The sequence below is a fragment of the Homo sapiens genome, chromosome 2 (genome assembly GCF_000001405.40).
Source record: "Homo sapiens chromosome 2, GRCh38.p14 Primary Assembly".
Classification (NCBI taxonomy): Eukaryota; Metazoa; Chordata; class Mammalia; order Primates; family Hominidae; genus Homo; species Homo sapiens.
In genome coordinates, this window is record NC_000002.12 from 176,908,120 (window position 1) to 176,925,500 (window position 17,381).

Sequence of the window (17,381 nt, forward strand, 5' to 3'; positions counted from 1 at the left end):
TTTTACTTTCCATCAGGTGAATGTGATGCAAATCCAAAGGAAAGACACATTCTGAACACAGAGGGCATCTCTTGATATTCACAACCTAATCTCCACTGGGGAGCATCATACTCAATATTTTTATTATCATACTATTAACATTTATTGAGTGTTAATAGTGAGCTTATATATAACAAAGAGACAATTACTGTACCTGGTTTCTTCGCAGATTGTAGGAACAGCATGTTTTTGATATCTTGGATGGCACCAAGCTCGCTATTATTTCCCAGTGAAGTCAGTTGCTCCTAATTTCCTGAACATCTGTGCATCAAATTCATTAAATGGCTAATGAATCCAGACATATAAGGTTCATAAAGATATTTATATCTGACATTAACAAAATTGCACTCCCGCTTTGTTCCTGTACGTGACATCCTTAAGACAATCAAGTTTTTGTCACTGGCTAGAACATAGTAGGGGAAGGTAAATGACTGAAATCAACACCTTCATGTTTCCTCCATGGGACAGAGAGATAGAGAAACCAAGGTTCCAGGTGGACAGTGAATACAGGACAAAGGATAGAGGAATAGGAGCTGAGGGTACAGTCAAAGTCAGGAGATGTCCATATTTCCATAAAGCCATTTACATTAAAATATCAGTAAATATCAGTGGGCAGGATTTTGTGTGAACATAAGTTTTCAACTTGAGTAAATACCAACGCGTGTGATTGCTAGATTGTATGATAAGAGTATGTTTAGTTTTGTAAGAAATAACCAAACTTTCTTCTAAAGTCGTAGTACCATTTTGCATTTCCACTAACAATGGATGAGTTTTCAATGAATACATTTTTAGGGCAGTGAAAATATTTCATATGCTATTACAATGATGTATGCATGTCATTATACATTTGTCCAAATCATGGAATGATTTGTACAACACCAAGAGTGAACCCTGATATGACTATGAACTGGGAGTGGTAATGATGTGTCAGTACAGGTTCATCAGTGGTAACAGATGTACCCCTCTGATGGGGGATGTTGATAATGGAGGAGGCTATGTAGGTGTGGGGCAGGAAATCCCTGTACCTTCTGCTCAATTTCTCTGTGAACCTAAAATTGCTCTTTAAAAAATTAAGAATTTTTCCTTAAAAAAAAGCATTGTCAACTTTAAAGAAAAAAAAAAAAAACATTGCCAGCAAACCTACCTAGACTGAAAGCTCACTAAGAGTAGAGTCTTGTGCAAGGTGTGGCCAGTGACTGCACGTCCCCCCAACCCACTGCCCCACCATTACCTGTGCTCTCACCATTACCAATGGCCAGGTCAGGGGACCCCCATGACACACCTATGCTTACAAAAATTAACAATATGCCATTCTTATAAATGTAAGCATTAGGAAAAATACCTAATGCATGCAGGGCTTAAAACCTAGGTGACAGATTGATAGGTGCAGCAAACCACCATGGCATATGTATATCTATGTAACAAACCTGCCCATTCTGCACATGTATCCCAGAACTTAAACTTTAAAAAAAATTAAGCGTTCTACAGACAACTGAAGAGACACTATGGATGATCCCTGACATACAATGGTTCAACTTAATGACTTTCCGACTTTATGATGATGCAAAACCAATATGCACTCAGTAGAAACCATACTTCTGTTTTTGAATTTTGATCTTTTCCCAGACTTGTGATACACACTGTATGATACTCTACCCTCAGGGGCAGTGGCAGAGAGGCACAGCTCCCAGTCAACTATATAATCCTGAGAGTAAACAACCAATATTCTGTTGTGTTTTTTTGGATATTGTGTTTTGTTTTCACATCCCATCATGCCGACAAAATGTCCATCTGTGTAAAGTATTCAACACTTTTATAAAACAGGCTTTGTGTTAGATGATTTTGCCCAACTGTATACTAATATAAGTGTTCTGAGCATATTCAAGGTAGGCCAGACTGAGCTATGATGTTCAGTACATTAGGTGCATTAAATGCATTTTTTATATATAATATTTTCAGCTTACAATGGGTTTGTTAGGATGTGACTCCATCAAAAGTTGAGGAGTGTCTGTATTTGTCATGAACTCTGAACTAAGAGTCCAATACTGTGGCTCTCCTCTGAAGTCTGACATTCTCTGGCTAGGAACTTTGTACCTGTTATTAGATTTCACTGTTGTCTCAGGCTCTGCCATCACCATGCATAAAATGAGCGGGGTATGAGTTAGATTTCCAGCCCCTTCCAACTTTGAAACATTCTCAGCTTTTTCTACTAAGAAGGAAAACAGGATGTTGGCAATTAATGTCTGCCAGTAGAACTTCAGCCCAAAGCTTGAAAACAATTGCTCACTTTTTGTATTTGTACCATTTAAGGAAAGGGCTTCGGTCAGAGTCTAGCAGAGGAATCCTCCAGCTTCAAATTCTCTCTTGTAGACACCTTTCTTCTTCCCACTGGAAGTCAAGTTTGCAAAACAAGGTAAATTTGATCAGGAAAAAGCAAACAAACAAACAAAACACAGGAGTTCAGAAGAGTTGGAGCTCTGAAACTTCTTTTCCTGGTTCACAGAGAAGTGCTTGCCAAGAAGTGTTTTGAGTTAAATGGGCAGCACATGGCCTCATGTAGCCTCTTATGATCCTTAACAGAGAGAAAGGACCTCTTAAAGGGCTTTATTTACACCAGGACTATCCACTACAGGAGAGTTCAGGAGAAGACTTCCAAATCACATTTGCTTAAGCAAAATTGTCTTGATGACAAAAAGTAGGTCTATTTTAATTTGCTGCTTATTCTGTTAACTACTGAACCCTCAAAACATGCTCTTCAGTTATCTTTTCATCTAAAGCTATGAAATGGTGAAAGCAAAAACCTTCCATAGAGAAAGGAAAAGCATGAGCAATGGTGGTGAGAGACCTGGAAAGTCCCCCCAGTGTGGGGTGCTGCAGCTCGTGGCTTGCTCACATGGTCCCACCTCCTGGAGGGGTCCCCCTCATTCACTTCCCGACCCTTCCAAGTGCAGCTCAAACCCCACCCGTGACTCTCCTGGCCTCATTACTGCCTCAGCCCAGAGTAATCACCTCACCCTTCTATTAACTCTTACAGTACATATTTCTCTCTCAGTATAATCAATTTTATAATTAGAAACTGCTCCGTGATACTGCTCTCTGCTATCAAGCTATTATTCAAACATATTATTATTATTGTCATTTACATATGCACAGTTTACTGCCCTGATTTGGCTATAAACTCCTTGAGAGCAAGTTTTGTGTCATTCACCCTGGAGTGTCCCACAACACCATGGTAAGTTGCCATAGCAGGCTCTGCCTGAGCTCCTGCATCTGTAAATGGGGATGATGACAGCACCTACATTACAGATCTGCTGTGAGGAGAAAATGAGACTGTGAAGAGTAAATTTTACCTGACTCATTAAAAGTTAGCTTTTTTTTTTTTTTGAGATGGGGTCTCACTCAGTCCCCCAAGTTGGAGTGCAGTGGTGCAATCACACTCACTGAAGCCTCAACCTACCAGCTCAAGTGATCCTCCTGCCTCAGCCTCCCAAGTAGCTGGGACTAAAGACATGCACCACCACACTGGGCTAATTTTTGTATTTTTTGAGAGACGGGGTTTTGCCATGTTGCCCACACTGGTCTCGAACTCCTGGGCTCAAGTGATCCACCTGCCTCAGCCTCCCAAAGTGCTGGGATTACAGGTATGAGCCACCACGCCTGGCTGCATATTTTATTAATAGTATTAATATTATATTGGAGAAAAGGAAGGGATATAGTGCCAAAAATGAAAAAAACCTGAAATCTGTTCCCATCTCTACTAATTAGTAGCCCTGTGACTTTAAGAAAGTCAGTTAAATGCTCAAGCCTCAAATTTTTCACCCATAAAATTAGAAAAGCAACATTCCCTGCCAACTTTCTGTTGCTGAAAAGATGAAATAACACTTTTTTTTATTATTATACTTTAAGTTTTAGGGTACATGTGCACAAAATGCAGGTTTGTTACATATGTATACATGTGCCATGTTGGTGGGCTGCACCCATTAACTCGTCATTTAACATTAGGTATATCTCCTAATGCTATCCCTCCCCCCTTCCCCCACCCCACAACAGGCCCTGGTGTGTGATGGTCCCCTTCCTGTGTCCATGTGTTCTCATTGTTCAATTCCCACCTATGAGTGAGAACATGCAGTGTTTGGTTTTTTGTCCTTGCAATAGTTTGCTGAGAATGATGGTTTCCAGTTTCATCCATGTCCCTACAAAGGACATGAACTCATCATTTGTACTATACAAAGGTATCATTTATTGGTACTCAGTAAATATTTGATTTGAGAATGCTGTCCTTATCACAGAAACACCTCACTTTCTCCCCTTTCTGGCTAAAAGGGCATCAGACATGCATCTTTCGGGCTTGGAAGGAGGAAAAGGATCTTTTGAATCCTTTGAATTTCCAACAACTAGTTTATATTCAGGGGATTCACAGCATCTTAACCTCCTACTGTTGTATTCCAGGGATCTCAGTGTTTAAGGAAATATTTCTATAACACCAGAGAAACCCAATTAAAATGTAAAATATCTACTAGCCAGCCTATTGTTTTGTTTAAAAAAAAAAGTAATATGTAGTTTTAAATAGTCAACCAAGGCCAGGCACAGTGGCTCATGCCTATAATTCCAGAACTTTGGGAGGCCAAGGCAGGAGGACTGCTTGAAGCCAGGAGTTGGAGACCAGCCTGGGAAACAAAGCGAAACCCTGTTTTTACAAAAAATAAAATAAATAATAATAATCCAAGTGCTGTGTCTATAACCCCAGCTACTCAGAAGGCTGAGGCAGGAGGACTACTTAAGCTAAGGAGCTTGAGGCTGCAATGAGCTATAATAGTGCCACTGCTCTCCAGCCTGGGTGACAGAGCAAGACCCTGTCTCTAAAAACATACATACATACATACATAGTCAATCAATCAACTATGGTAGCATGATCGGTTATATCCATGAGCAGAAGGGAATCATAGCAGATCATAAACCAATCATAGCAGAACCAGAAGATACCACATACCCCAGAGATCACACATAGTATCTCCCTTAGGGACAAAAGCCTCCTCTAGTCTATACACAGAGGGGCCTTGGCACAACCACAGAACAAGGTTCCTGGTCGGTCCATGCCTAGGTAAAACTATCACTTTCATGAAAAGCTGGTACCAGAATAAATTGCATGATTTGATTCTCTGACTTCTTATGATCTAAATTTTCTCCTCCACCTGCAAACCACAAATACAATCATTCTTACCTTTTCAGTCTCATATAATTTAATATCAAGTATCAGTATCAGATGGCAGAGGCAATCTAAGTTATATCAGCAACACACCAAATATTCACTCATTTACCAAATAATTATTTAAGATGTCCATGCAAGGCACTGGGGCATACAAAAACGAATGACAAAATCTAACCATTTGGTATTATTTAGACACCTTATTTTTTATGAAGATTTGTATATTTGCTGCTGTGTAAGCATAGTTTACAATGTTTCCATTTATGATACTTTTTTTTGAGACAGGATCTCGCTCTGTCACCCAGGTTGGAGTGCAGTGGCACAATCATGGCTCACTGTTGCCTTGAACTCCTAGGTCAAGCAATTCTCCCATCTCAGCCTCCCAAATAGCAGGGACTACAGGTGCACACCACCACATGGCTAATTTTTTAATTTTCATTTTCTGTAGAGATGCAGGGTCTCACTGTGTTGCCCAGGCTGATCTTGAACTCCTGGGCTCAAGCAATTCTTCCACCTCAGCCTCTCAAAGTGCTGGGATTACAGGCATGAGCCACTTCACCCAGGCTTAATGGTAATTGGGGAAAAAAAAGTATTATTTAAGTAATAACATGGTTAAAATACTGTCAATGTAGTGCTCTTATCTGTTCTTTTAAGACAATGAAAGGCAAAAGATTGTTTGGAAAAATTATTTGATATTCCGATATGATCACACTCATTGCTCCAGTGAAAACAGGAAATGTACAAGTGCATTTTTTACCTGGTATAACAAAACAACCCAATAAAAAGGTAAAGTACAGGTGAAGTATACAGCCTTTATGATACTTCTTGAAATTACTCCACTTTTATAGAGGATATTCATGGTGGCAACAGCTGTAAAAAATATGGAAATGTAAAAGAAAAGAGACTGAATATAGGATTTATCTATGGGCCCAGTACATTAAACCCTTTTTAACACATGAAATATGACAATAACTTAGACCCTCAACATCAGGATCATAAAGGGAATTTTAATGGTGACCTGTGCCTTCACATCAAAGAATTGAATTTTTGTTGTTTTAAAGGTCTTTTTACATATTTGCCTGGCTTGCACAATTACATCAATGTGTCAGTTTAACCAATAAGACAAAACTATTTGAAATCTGTGTTGCTAGGTTACCCATCCTGATCTTACACGCAACAAGTGGAAAACTTTTCCTGGCTTCCTCTCTCAGCGTCACACAAAGTGGGATCTTAGGCCACGCCACCAGGCTGGAAATCACAGCAGCTGTGGATTATGCCTTTGGAACAGGCAGGATGCCCAGTCCTAAATCCTCTTTCCATGCAACATGCTGGACCTATACAGAAAAGCAGGGTCAGTCTTGAATCTACAAGCTGTTGGGGGTGATGCAGCCATTCCTCCATCTGTTACCTGTAATTGCCACCTAAATGAGGCACAAGCTGACACACTGGTCCCTATAAAAGGTGGAAGTAAAGGGTAAGTCCATCCCAGCATACACCATTTCTGCAAAGATTGAGTACCTGATCATCATGATCTCAAGAGAACCTGAGGAGTAAAACTGGAGTTGTTGGGGAGGCGGCAAAGAAATGAACGTGATACCTGTATCAGGTAGACATGAGAAAGTGGATATAAAATAAGGCTTAAATCCAGAGATCTAGGCTTGGGAAAATAAAGAGATTCAAGGAGTGAGAACAAAGAGTGCTGGGGCAGCAGGAAACAGTGGATGAGTGAGTGGGAGGTAAAGAGGTGAGCGACGAAGCACAATTCCCAAATCTGTCTTCTCTCTTCATTCCACTGGGCATCTTTTAGGCCTTCACTTTCTTATAGCCCACATATGCCACATGAGTTGGTAGATAAAAGCAATCTGTTAATTAAGTTTTTAAGTAAAAAGACCCTAAAGAGTTCCAGTTTAAAACGGCATCTGGCTAATGGCCCTGATATAGCCTTTTCCACCAAAATACACACATACACACACAATTTATGTTGCCACCAAAAATTAAGATTGCTAATCAACCTTACCACTAACTATAAGATCAACGGACCTAGATTTTTAAAGGCAATCAGTGGCCCACCTGTGCTTGCCACCAGCCCTGGAGAAAGCCCACCTGTCTGAAATTGGAACGACCCATTATCTCTTCCCCACTGTCTGCCACCTGGCTCATTAAATCAGCCAGCCATCCTTCTACTATATACGTGTTCCTTTTTAAGCTGGAGTGTTATTCTCCTTCCACATCCAATCTCTCATTGGTAGCTTTTTTCATAAAAACAGGGTAGCTACTTAAAAAAGAATTGGTCAGCAAGAGAGAATGGGAAGGCAGGTTTTAAAGGAGCCTCGTTATAGTCAAGAAGGTGTTCCACTGAAGACAGCACAATATAAGGGAAGAGAGAACAACAACAACAACAAAAAACTGACAACCACATATGCTTAATACCACAAGCTTTCCTGTCAGAAGGAACAAAATGAACATAAGACAAAAGCTAATCTTGGGTCAATATTTAAGGAAAGAAAGCAAGTCAAACACCAGAAATTGAGCTAGTGGCTCTGGGTCTCACCCAGAGCTTGCCCTCTGGATGTAGCTCTATAGAGAGAATTGAACCAGTATTCAGTGGACAGAGAGTAGGGCCTGCTGGAAACACCAATCTAGATGGATCTTGTTGAGAGTGACAAGAAGAACAATTAACAAATGCATGTTGGTAAATGACATAGAAATAGAGATAGAAGAAATCATACTAAAGACTTGGAGGGAACACAGACTTCTGAAAATGATTTATCACAGGAATTTTTTTTAATTTTGGAAAATTATTTCAATCTTCAAAAGAATTCAAGAAATAATGGCCTCTATGGAATAGAAGCAGATGCCCATAGCGAAAGAATAGATCATCAGAAAAAGACAGCAAGATGAGAGGATAATGAAAATGTGTTAAGGTAAAAAAGAATTTAAGTGAAACCAAAAGGCAATGATGATGGAATTAAAATCTGCATTTGAAGCTATTTCAAACAGAAATGACACTGCAGTTCATTAGGTCAGTAAAGTAGGAGACCATGAGAAACTCCTCTGGTATCTAGAGGAAAAGAATAAAGATGAAAATTAAAGAGAAGATAATAGATAAGTGTTAAATTTAACCTAAAGCTGCCTCCTTATGTATTTTAAGTTCAGTCTGAAGGTTTTTCAGTACATAGTGAACTGTAACCTAACTGGATGTGTAAACAAACTAACCTCCTCTTGTATCCATCACTGAGTTTTGGCCAATCACAGGCAGTCAGTGCTCAAGTAAAGCAAACGCTGAGCTGAGACCAATCCCACTGTTTCTGTACCTCACTTCCCTTTTCTGTACATCACTTTCCCTGTTCTACTCATAAATCCTCTACCACATGGCAGTGCTGTTCTGGATTGGAGTAGCAGGGACTACCTGATTTGGGAATTATTCTTTGCTCAATTAAATTCTGTTAAATTTATCGCAGTGGCACAATCTCACTGCAATCTCTGCCCTCTGCCTTCCAGGTTCAATCAATTCTCCTGCCTCAGTCTCCCAAGAAGCTGGAATTACAGGCCCGCGACACTGGGCCTGGCTACTTTTTGTATTTTTAGTAGAGACGGGGTTTCACTATGTTGTCCAGGCTGGTCTCAAACTCCTGGCCTCAAGTGATCCACCCATCTCAGCCTCCCAAAGTGCTGGGATTACAAGCTTGAGACATTGCACCCCGCCTGAAGTTTTTTGTCTTATATGGAAGGCCTAAGAACTATACATATTTTTCAGGAAGAAACAGAAGAGTTGGAACAAAAGTTGTAATCAATTTGTAACCTTTTTTAGCCTTAAAAAATGTTAGAGTGGCTGGGAACAGTGGCTCACACCTGTAATCCCAGCACTTTGAGAGGCCGAGGCAGGTGAATCATGAGGTCAGGAGTTCAAGACCAGCCTGACCAACATGGTGAAACACCGTCTCTACTAAAAATACAAAAAATAGCTGGGTGTGGTGGCACATGCCTGTGATCCCAACTACTCAGGAGGCTGGGGCGGGAGAATGGCTTGAACCCGGGAGGCAGAGTTTCCAGTGAGCCAAGACTGTGCCACTGCAGTCCAGCCTGGGTGACAGAGAGAGACTCCATCTCAAAAATAAAAATAAAAAATAACAATAATAAACAGATCAAGAATCCGCTATATACCAAGCAAAATGAAACTATTAAGATATATCTAGAAATAGCTATGAGAACTCTTGAAGGTCAGAGATAAATAAAAAGTAACCCATAGCATGTGAGCAAGGGGCAGGGGACTGGGGAGGTGGGAGAGAAGTTCATTCTCAAATCAATGAAAATCAAAAAAATTCAGATGTTTCTCTTACCTTAGTAAATTCTATAAAGACAGAACATCTACAGAATTTTGAGGAAACAGTTCTACCCATGATGTTATGCCCAGACAAGTTGTCTTTCATGGGCAAAAATAACAGAAAACTATTTTCAAATCTGAAAGCTCTTAGAAAATACATTTCCCTGGAACCCTTCTTGAAAAAAATTACTTAAAGACATACTCTTTCTGACTGAGAGATAATTTAAGACAAACAACATAAGAATGGAACTATTGTGCTTTGAATGGTTAGCAATGAGCCGTAAAAGAAGGTATACATTTTAATTATATCAAATAATTATTGTAAAATTTGTTAAGAACAAAAAGTAAATGTCCAAAAATATCCATGAAAGAAAAATCTTACATACAAAAGTAATAGGAATAATACATATCTTAAATCTAGGTTTATATTAACAAAGATATGGTATATAGGGGATTTTAATGTGAAGACTTGAGAAATGTTAAGGAATTTTTTTAAAAATAATTCAAAGGCAACCAATAGTAAATTTTAAATAAGATTATATTTCAAGATTACCTTAATAAAGTAATAAAAGTACATTTTAAAAGTAAATAAAACATACTTTACAGAGCAAATAAGCAGATAAGAAAATAGCAAAATATCAGAAAGAAGATAAAACATAAATTATGAGAAAAATTATGAATGGGTTAAAGCAACCTGTTAATGATCGATATTTTCAAATTGCCTTCAAAAATAAAAATTAACTCTGCCACTGAAAAGAAACCCACCAAGCCTGGGTATGGTGGCTCACACCTATAATCCCAGCACTTTGGGAGGTTGAGGAGGGCAGATCACTTGAGATCAGCAGTTCGAGACCAGCCTGGCCAACATGGTGAAACCCCATCTTTATTAAAAATACAAAAAATTAGCCAGGCATGGTGGCAAGTGCCTGTAATCCCAGTTATTCAGGAGGCTGAGGGTGGAAGAATTGCTTGAACCCAGGAGGCGGAGTTGCAGTGAGCCGAGATCGCACCACTGCACTGACCACAGTGTGAGACCCTGTCTCAGAAAAAAAGAAAAAGAAACCCACCAGAACCTAAGTGACCCATAAAGGTAAGTGGCATAAGCATGAGTAAACATGTATCTGATCCATATAAGCAAAAGAAAGCTTACAAACCAGCAGTCAAGCCAAAAAGCAATAAGCAGGCCAAAAATTTAATTATTTATTGATAAAAGGTATAATCTACAATGAAGGGAGAATGGTCATAAACACTGTTATAGACCATATAATAGCAATATTTAATAAGCAATGCTCATATATTAGACTATAAAACGGCAATTAATTCCCCAAAGCGGAAATTCTAAAGGCCACAAATTTCCAACCACAATATGATCAACCCCAAAACTATTATCACATATTGAGACAAACTAATAAATAAGTAAAACCAATAGCTTAGAATCTTTAACAAACATTTCTCTAAACTAAGTTACAAAGGAAATCAAATCCTCAATAACAGAGTAGCTTTTAAATAATATAATGAAGAAATAACATGACTGAGAATACTAATAAAAGTTGTGAGAGAGTGCCAAAATTCCAATCAGAAGTGAATTCACACTTTTAATGAATTAAGTCGCCTAGGAAAATAAATGAATAATTTGATAAATTGATCAATTTGATAATTGGTAAAAATAAATTGAAAATAAAATGATAATGACAATGATGATGATGATGTCTGACCACCTACCATGAGGCAGGTACTGAGCCAAGGGCCTTAAATAATTATCTTATTGAATCCCCACATTATTCCTGAGAGATGGGTATCATTATAGCTTGCAAATAAAGAAATTAAGATTTTTGAGACATTAGGTAATTTGCCCAAGATCACACAGCTAGCAAATGGCAAAGTCAGGATTTAATCCAGGTCTGTCTGAGTCCAGAGTCTTTATCCTTAATCCCTGCCATAGTAGTATTAGAAAACAGAAAAGTGCTTATGTGATACATACAAACAACAGCTGGCTTTTTGGAAAAACTAGACAAAGACCTGACAAACCTAATATAGAACACAGAGATATAAGGAAGGAACAAAAAAATTAAAAATGAGAAGAAAGAGGATATAACAGATACATTAAATTTTAAAAGAATTACTCTTTATGTTAATACGTTTGTAAATACTGATATAATGGATTATATCACAATAAAGCATAAATCATCAATTGTGTTAAGAAAAAGTAGATTATCTAAATTGATAAACAACCAGATAAAAAATGGAAGGTTATCAAAGGCACAAGGGTCAGATTGATCTACCGGTGATTTTTTTTTTTAAGCTTTCAAATGAAAAAATATTTAAAATGAAGACATACAATGAAAATGAACAAGCTGCAACATTTTATCAAACACAAAGGAATATCTGAAAAAATGTTTCTGCATAGGAAAACCCAATTTTATAACAATATTTTAAAAAATATTCTAAAATTAATTTGAAGAGTTAACTATGTTCATGTGGATAATTTTCAGAATTTGGTAAATTATTCTAAAGTTTAACTGAAACAATGACATTGGTCTGGGCAATGACTTTTTTGGATACGACGCCAAAAGCTCAGGCAATAAGTGAAAATAGGCAAATGAGATTGAAACCAGCCCAATTTTTCTCCCAATAGTATAAAGGAATGAAAACTTTACAGATCACTGCATGTGGTTACAATAAAACACCAGACCCCTCATCCCACCGCCAGCTGCCTGTTGACAAACTCCTATATTAATTCCTAACTTTAGTGGGTTGGAGAGATGAATTTGAGAATTGTCTCCTATCTCACAGCTGATGTTACCTGCAATAAGGCTTTTCTTCCCTAGCAATACTCATTGTCTCAATGATTGGCTTTTTGTGCAGCAAGCAACCAGACCTACACTCAACCCTTGGTGTTTGGCAGTAGTATTAAATCAAACTAAAAAGCTTCTGCACAGCAAAAGAAACTATCAATAGAGTGAAGAGACAACCTACAAAGTAGAAGAAAAGATTTACAAACCATACATCTGATAAGGGGTTGGTCTCCAAAATATATAAGAAATTCATACAACTCAATGCAACAAACAAACAACTTGACTAGAAAACAAGCGAAGGACTTGAATAAATTTTAACACGAAGACATATAAATGACAAACAAGTATATGAAAAGGTGCTCACCATCACTAATCATCAGGGACATGCAAATCAAAATCACAATGACATACCACCTCACACCTTTTAGAATGGCAATTATCAAAATTTATTAACATAAAGAATAATTCTTTTAAAATTTAATGTATCTGTTATGTCCTCTTTCTTCTCATTTTTAATTTTTTGGTTCCTCCCTTTTATCTCTGTTGCATCTGGACAATTAGATGCCAAACCCTTCACCTGTGATGATTGCCTGTCTGACCACCTGCTTTCTGTTGACCAACTCCTCTTTCTTATCCCTCCCCAATTCCTATTTTCCCACACACGGGTGCATTTCTCCCCCTCCTGTATAAAAACCTAATTTTAGTCAGTTGAGAAGATGGATTTAAGACTGATCTCACATCTCATTGGCTGCAGCACCCAAATAAAGCCTCCTATCCTTGTGATAATTATTGTCTCCGTGTTGGCTTTCTGTGTGATGACCAACAGGGCCTAGACCAAATCCCTGGTACTTTGGTAATATAGCCAAAGGGAATAAAATCAGTAAAATCAGAATGTTGAAGAGATACCTCCACTTTATATACCCTGCAGCACTATCACAATAGACAAGATATAGAATCAACCTAAGTGTTAATCAACAGATGAATGGATAAAGAAACTATTCAGATTGAAAAAAAAAAAAAGGAAGGAATTCCTGTCATTTTCAACAACAGGGACGAACCTAGAGGACATTATGTTAAGTAAAATAAGCCAGGCACAGAAAGTCAAATACTGCATTATCTCACATGTGGAAACTAAAAAAGTTGAACTCATAGAAGCAGAGAGTAGAATGATAGTTCCCGGGGGCTGGAGAGAGAGGGAGTGGGGAGATATTAGTCAATGGACACAAAATTTCAATTAGACAAGAAAAAGAAGTGCAAGAGATCTATTGTATATGGTGACTATGGTTAATAACAATGTACTGTATACTTGAAAATCACTAGGGGAGGAGATTTTAAGTGTTCTTGTCACAAGAAAGTGAAATATGTGAGGTAATACATATATATTAGCTCAATTTAGCCACTCCACTCCACAATAATATATTTCAAAATATGTTGTATGCCATAAATATATACAATTTTTATTTGTCAATTTAATTAATTAGCTATAGGATTTAATTTTTAAAGTTTAACTGGAACCATAAAAAAAGAACTGACTATCACATTTTGGGAAGAACAAAAAACAAGTACATGAGTAATGAAAGAAGACCTCGGTGATAAAAACATACTATAAAGTTTTAGCAATTAAACTGCAAAAACCTGCAGCAAAAATCAGAAGGCAGATCAATGGAATGGAATAAATAGCCTAGAAACACACCTGGTATATAAAAGAATTTATTATGCAATTAAGATACCATCACAATCAGTGGGAAAAGACTCAGTCAATGCAGCTAGATAAACATGTGGGCCTGATACACTTCTCAAAAGAAGACACTTATGCAGCCAACAGACACATGAAAAAATGCTCATCATCACTGGTCATCAGAGAAATGCAAATCAAAACCACAATGAGATACCATCTCACACCAGTTAGAATGGCGATCATTAATAAGTCAGGAAACAACTGATGCTGGAGAGGATTTGGAGAAATAGGAACACTTCTACCCTGTTGGTGGGACTGTAAACTAGTTCAACCATTGTGGAAGATAGTGTGGCGATTCCTCAAGGATCTAGAACTAGAAATACCATTTGACCCAGCCATCCCATTACTGGGTATATACCCAAAGGATTATAAATCATGCTACTATAAAGACACATGCACACATATGTTTATTGCAGCACTATTCACAATAGCAAAGACTTGGAACCAACCCAAATGTCCATCAATGATAGACTGGATTAAGAAAATGTGGCACATATACACCATGGAATACTATGCAGCCATAAAAAAGGATGAATTCGTGTCCTTTGCAGGGACATGGATGAAGCTGGAAACCATCATTCTCAGCAAAATATCACAAGGACAGAAAACCAAACACCGCATGTTCTCACTCATAGGTGGGAACTCAACAGTGAGAACACTTGGGCACGGAGCAGGGAACATCACACACTGGGGCCTGTTGGGGGGTGGGGGGCTGGATGAGGGATAGCATTAGGAGAAATATCTAATGTAAATGACGAGTTGATGGGTGCAGCAAACCAACATGGCACATGTATACTTATGTAATAAACCTGCGCATTGTATACATCTACCCTGGAACTTAAAGTATAATAATAATAAAAAAATTTTTTTAAATCATGTGGGCCTGATAAATAGACAAGAATTAGATCCTTCCTTTACACCACACACACACACTCTTACACACCATAAAAACCTTTGAAAGTGGATAAATATATAAGCAAAAAATTGGGGAAGGTTTTCTAGGCATAAATATAATAGAAAATGTAAAATAAAAAAAGTAAAAAGTCAATAGGTTTTACTCCATGAAAAAATTAAACTTTTCTATTTCAAAAAACAATATAAATAAAATTTAAAAGCAAACAAGCTGGTAAAATACTTTTTTTTCCAAACTGTGATGGATATTACGTCACTATACATTGCATATAAGGAGCTCATACACTTGAATAAAACCACATGCCGGTAGTGGATTTCTGTCATTTAGGTGCCCAAATCCAACATTTTTCCCTTTGGAGGAAATCCCATGGTGGACAGGTTGCCATCCCTGCTTGCTGGCCCATAGTGGGAGGCCCTGCGACCTAAACACAGCTAATCAGCTGCTCCCACCTGAGCGTTTGTGTCTGTGAAGTAGAGACAGAAAGGAAGAGTATCCACTGGAGATTATTCACAGGTTCTGTGGTGGAGTCCAGAGGCCAACGGAGTCATAGCCCACCGGCCATGGTGCCAGCCATTGTCCAGCAGTAAAGGTGGTAGCTGTGGTGCCTTAACAGGCTACTCCTGAGCAGGATGTGGACTGTGCCCCTTCCCCCTTGGCTCCTGCCCAAGCCTGGTTCTCAGTGTTCCCCTGAATTCTGTAAGCTACCCAACAACTTTTCAACAGATTCTTTTTCTGTTTAAATTAACTGAAGTTAATTACCAAGGGCTAACTAGCATACCTCTATGGTCATATAACCTGAAAATCAGGCTATGTTCAGCATATAAACTGAAAATTCACAGAAAAAAATACATTGTTAATAACAATTTTTAAACACCCAATCTCACTATATCAGATAAATTATTGCTGGAAAATAAAAGCCAAAATTTGGGGTTAAAATTAGCATGCTTCTTAATTTAAAATATTTTGAATTAGTAAAGATGTAAAGACATGGTAGGAATATAAATTCATACAATCTTTTTGGAAAGCAGTTTGAGTATATATGCCAAAAACTTTCAAAATGCCCATATCTTTTTGATATATAATTCTTGTTCTAGAAATGTATCCTAATAATCATTTACACAGACAAAGATTTATAAGGATATTCATTTCAGCTTTTAAGTTAAAAAGTATAAACAAAAATTTGTTTAACAAAATGATAATGGTTAAACACATATCTACATCCAGTAGAATCTTTCTTAATGAACTTCTGCTGATCCACTTACTTCATTAGTCAGTCATTTTTACTCCCTTTGTAAAGCACATGGAGCACTCCTCAGTAGAACTTTACCCATGCACTTTCCACTCCAAATTTGGGTGGGAATTTAACAAAAGTGGGATGGGTCTGTGTCCAGCCTATTTATGTTCTTGGTAACTGCTATTGAAATTATAAATGCAAAAAGAAAGATAACAGTTGTTTTATGAAATTTAAGTTGATTTGCAAAATTTAGCCAAAATCAAATTGCCTAAAAAAAGGAAGTAAGAAAGGAATGTTGCTGTTACAAATCAAAAAGTCCATAGCAGTGATTCTCAAGATTGAGAACTGCTGATTTAACAGAGGCCTGTGCTCAATTTTTAATTCTCTCTAAGTTTTCTATTTCAAAACAAGCAAAAATAGAAACCTAGAAATTACAAAAGCATTATTGATATTGTTTATGCCAGAAAGCCCAAACTGTCTGTCATAATTAAAGAAACAACCTTGGCCTACACTTTTTTAAAATGGTGAATGAAAGTGTATATGCTTTAAATTTAAAAAAAAACTGTTTGAGAAATACATATGTTTTTAAAAATATACATCATATCATTTATTTCACTGTTTCACACTAGTTATTTCACTGCGGACTGCAGGTCCTCAAGCACTATAACTCCACATACCAAGTGTGAAGCCACATGTTCCCAGATGAGTGAAGGCAGCGCTGGAACCCAGGGTCAGGTTGGCATGGCTGAGCCGGCCCTGGCTTTCCCTCACACCGGAAAGATGACCAGAGAGCCCAGGAGCCAGTGGCAGGGAGGCAGGGCTGGCATTTCCAACAGAAGGAGGTTTTTGCCCCATGCTTCTCTCTCCTTAGCAGAAGAAAAATCTTTTCCAAAAGTCCCTAACAGACTGTTTTATGTCTCATTGGCAGAACTGTGTCACTTGCTAACCCCTAAACTACTTGCAGGCCAAGAAGAATGGGATCGTCATGACTGGCTGGGAAATGAATCATGGGCAGCCCAGACGCAGGGCTTTGATCAGTCCAGCTTCCTCCTCCTAAGGTGAGAGGATGCCCATCCTCACTGAACAAGTCGTTTCCACACATCTGAACAAAATCAGGGTCATTTTAGCTAGG

General features: G+C 38.0%; 1 annotated feature.

Annotated features, from left to right (window-relative positions):
• Positions 5,580–5,750: a silencer, noted in NCBI's record as "fragment chr2:177778427-177778597 (GRCh37/hg19 assembly coordinates)". NCBI's record gives its function as "represses an EF-1alpha promoter that drives an FKBP-Casp9 reporter gene in an ReSE screen in HepG2 liver carcinoma cells {active_cell/tissue: HepG2}" and the evidence as "EXISTENCE:reporter gene assay evidence [ECO:0000049][PMID:32094911]".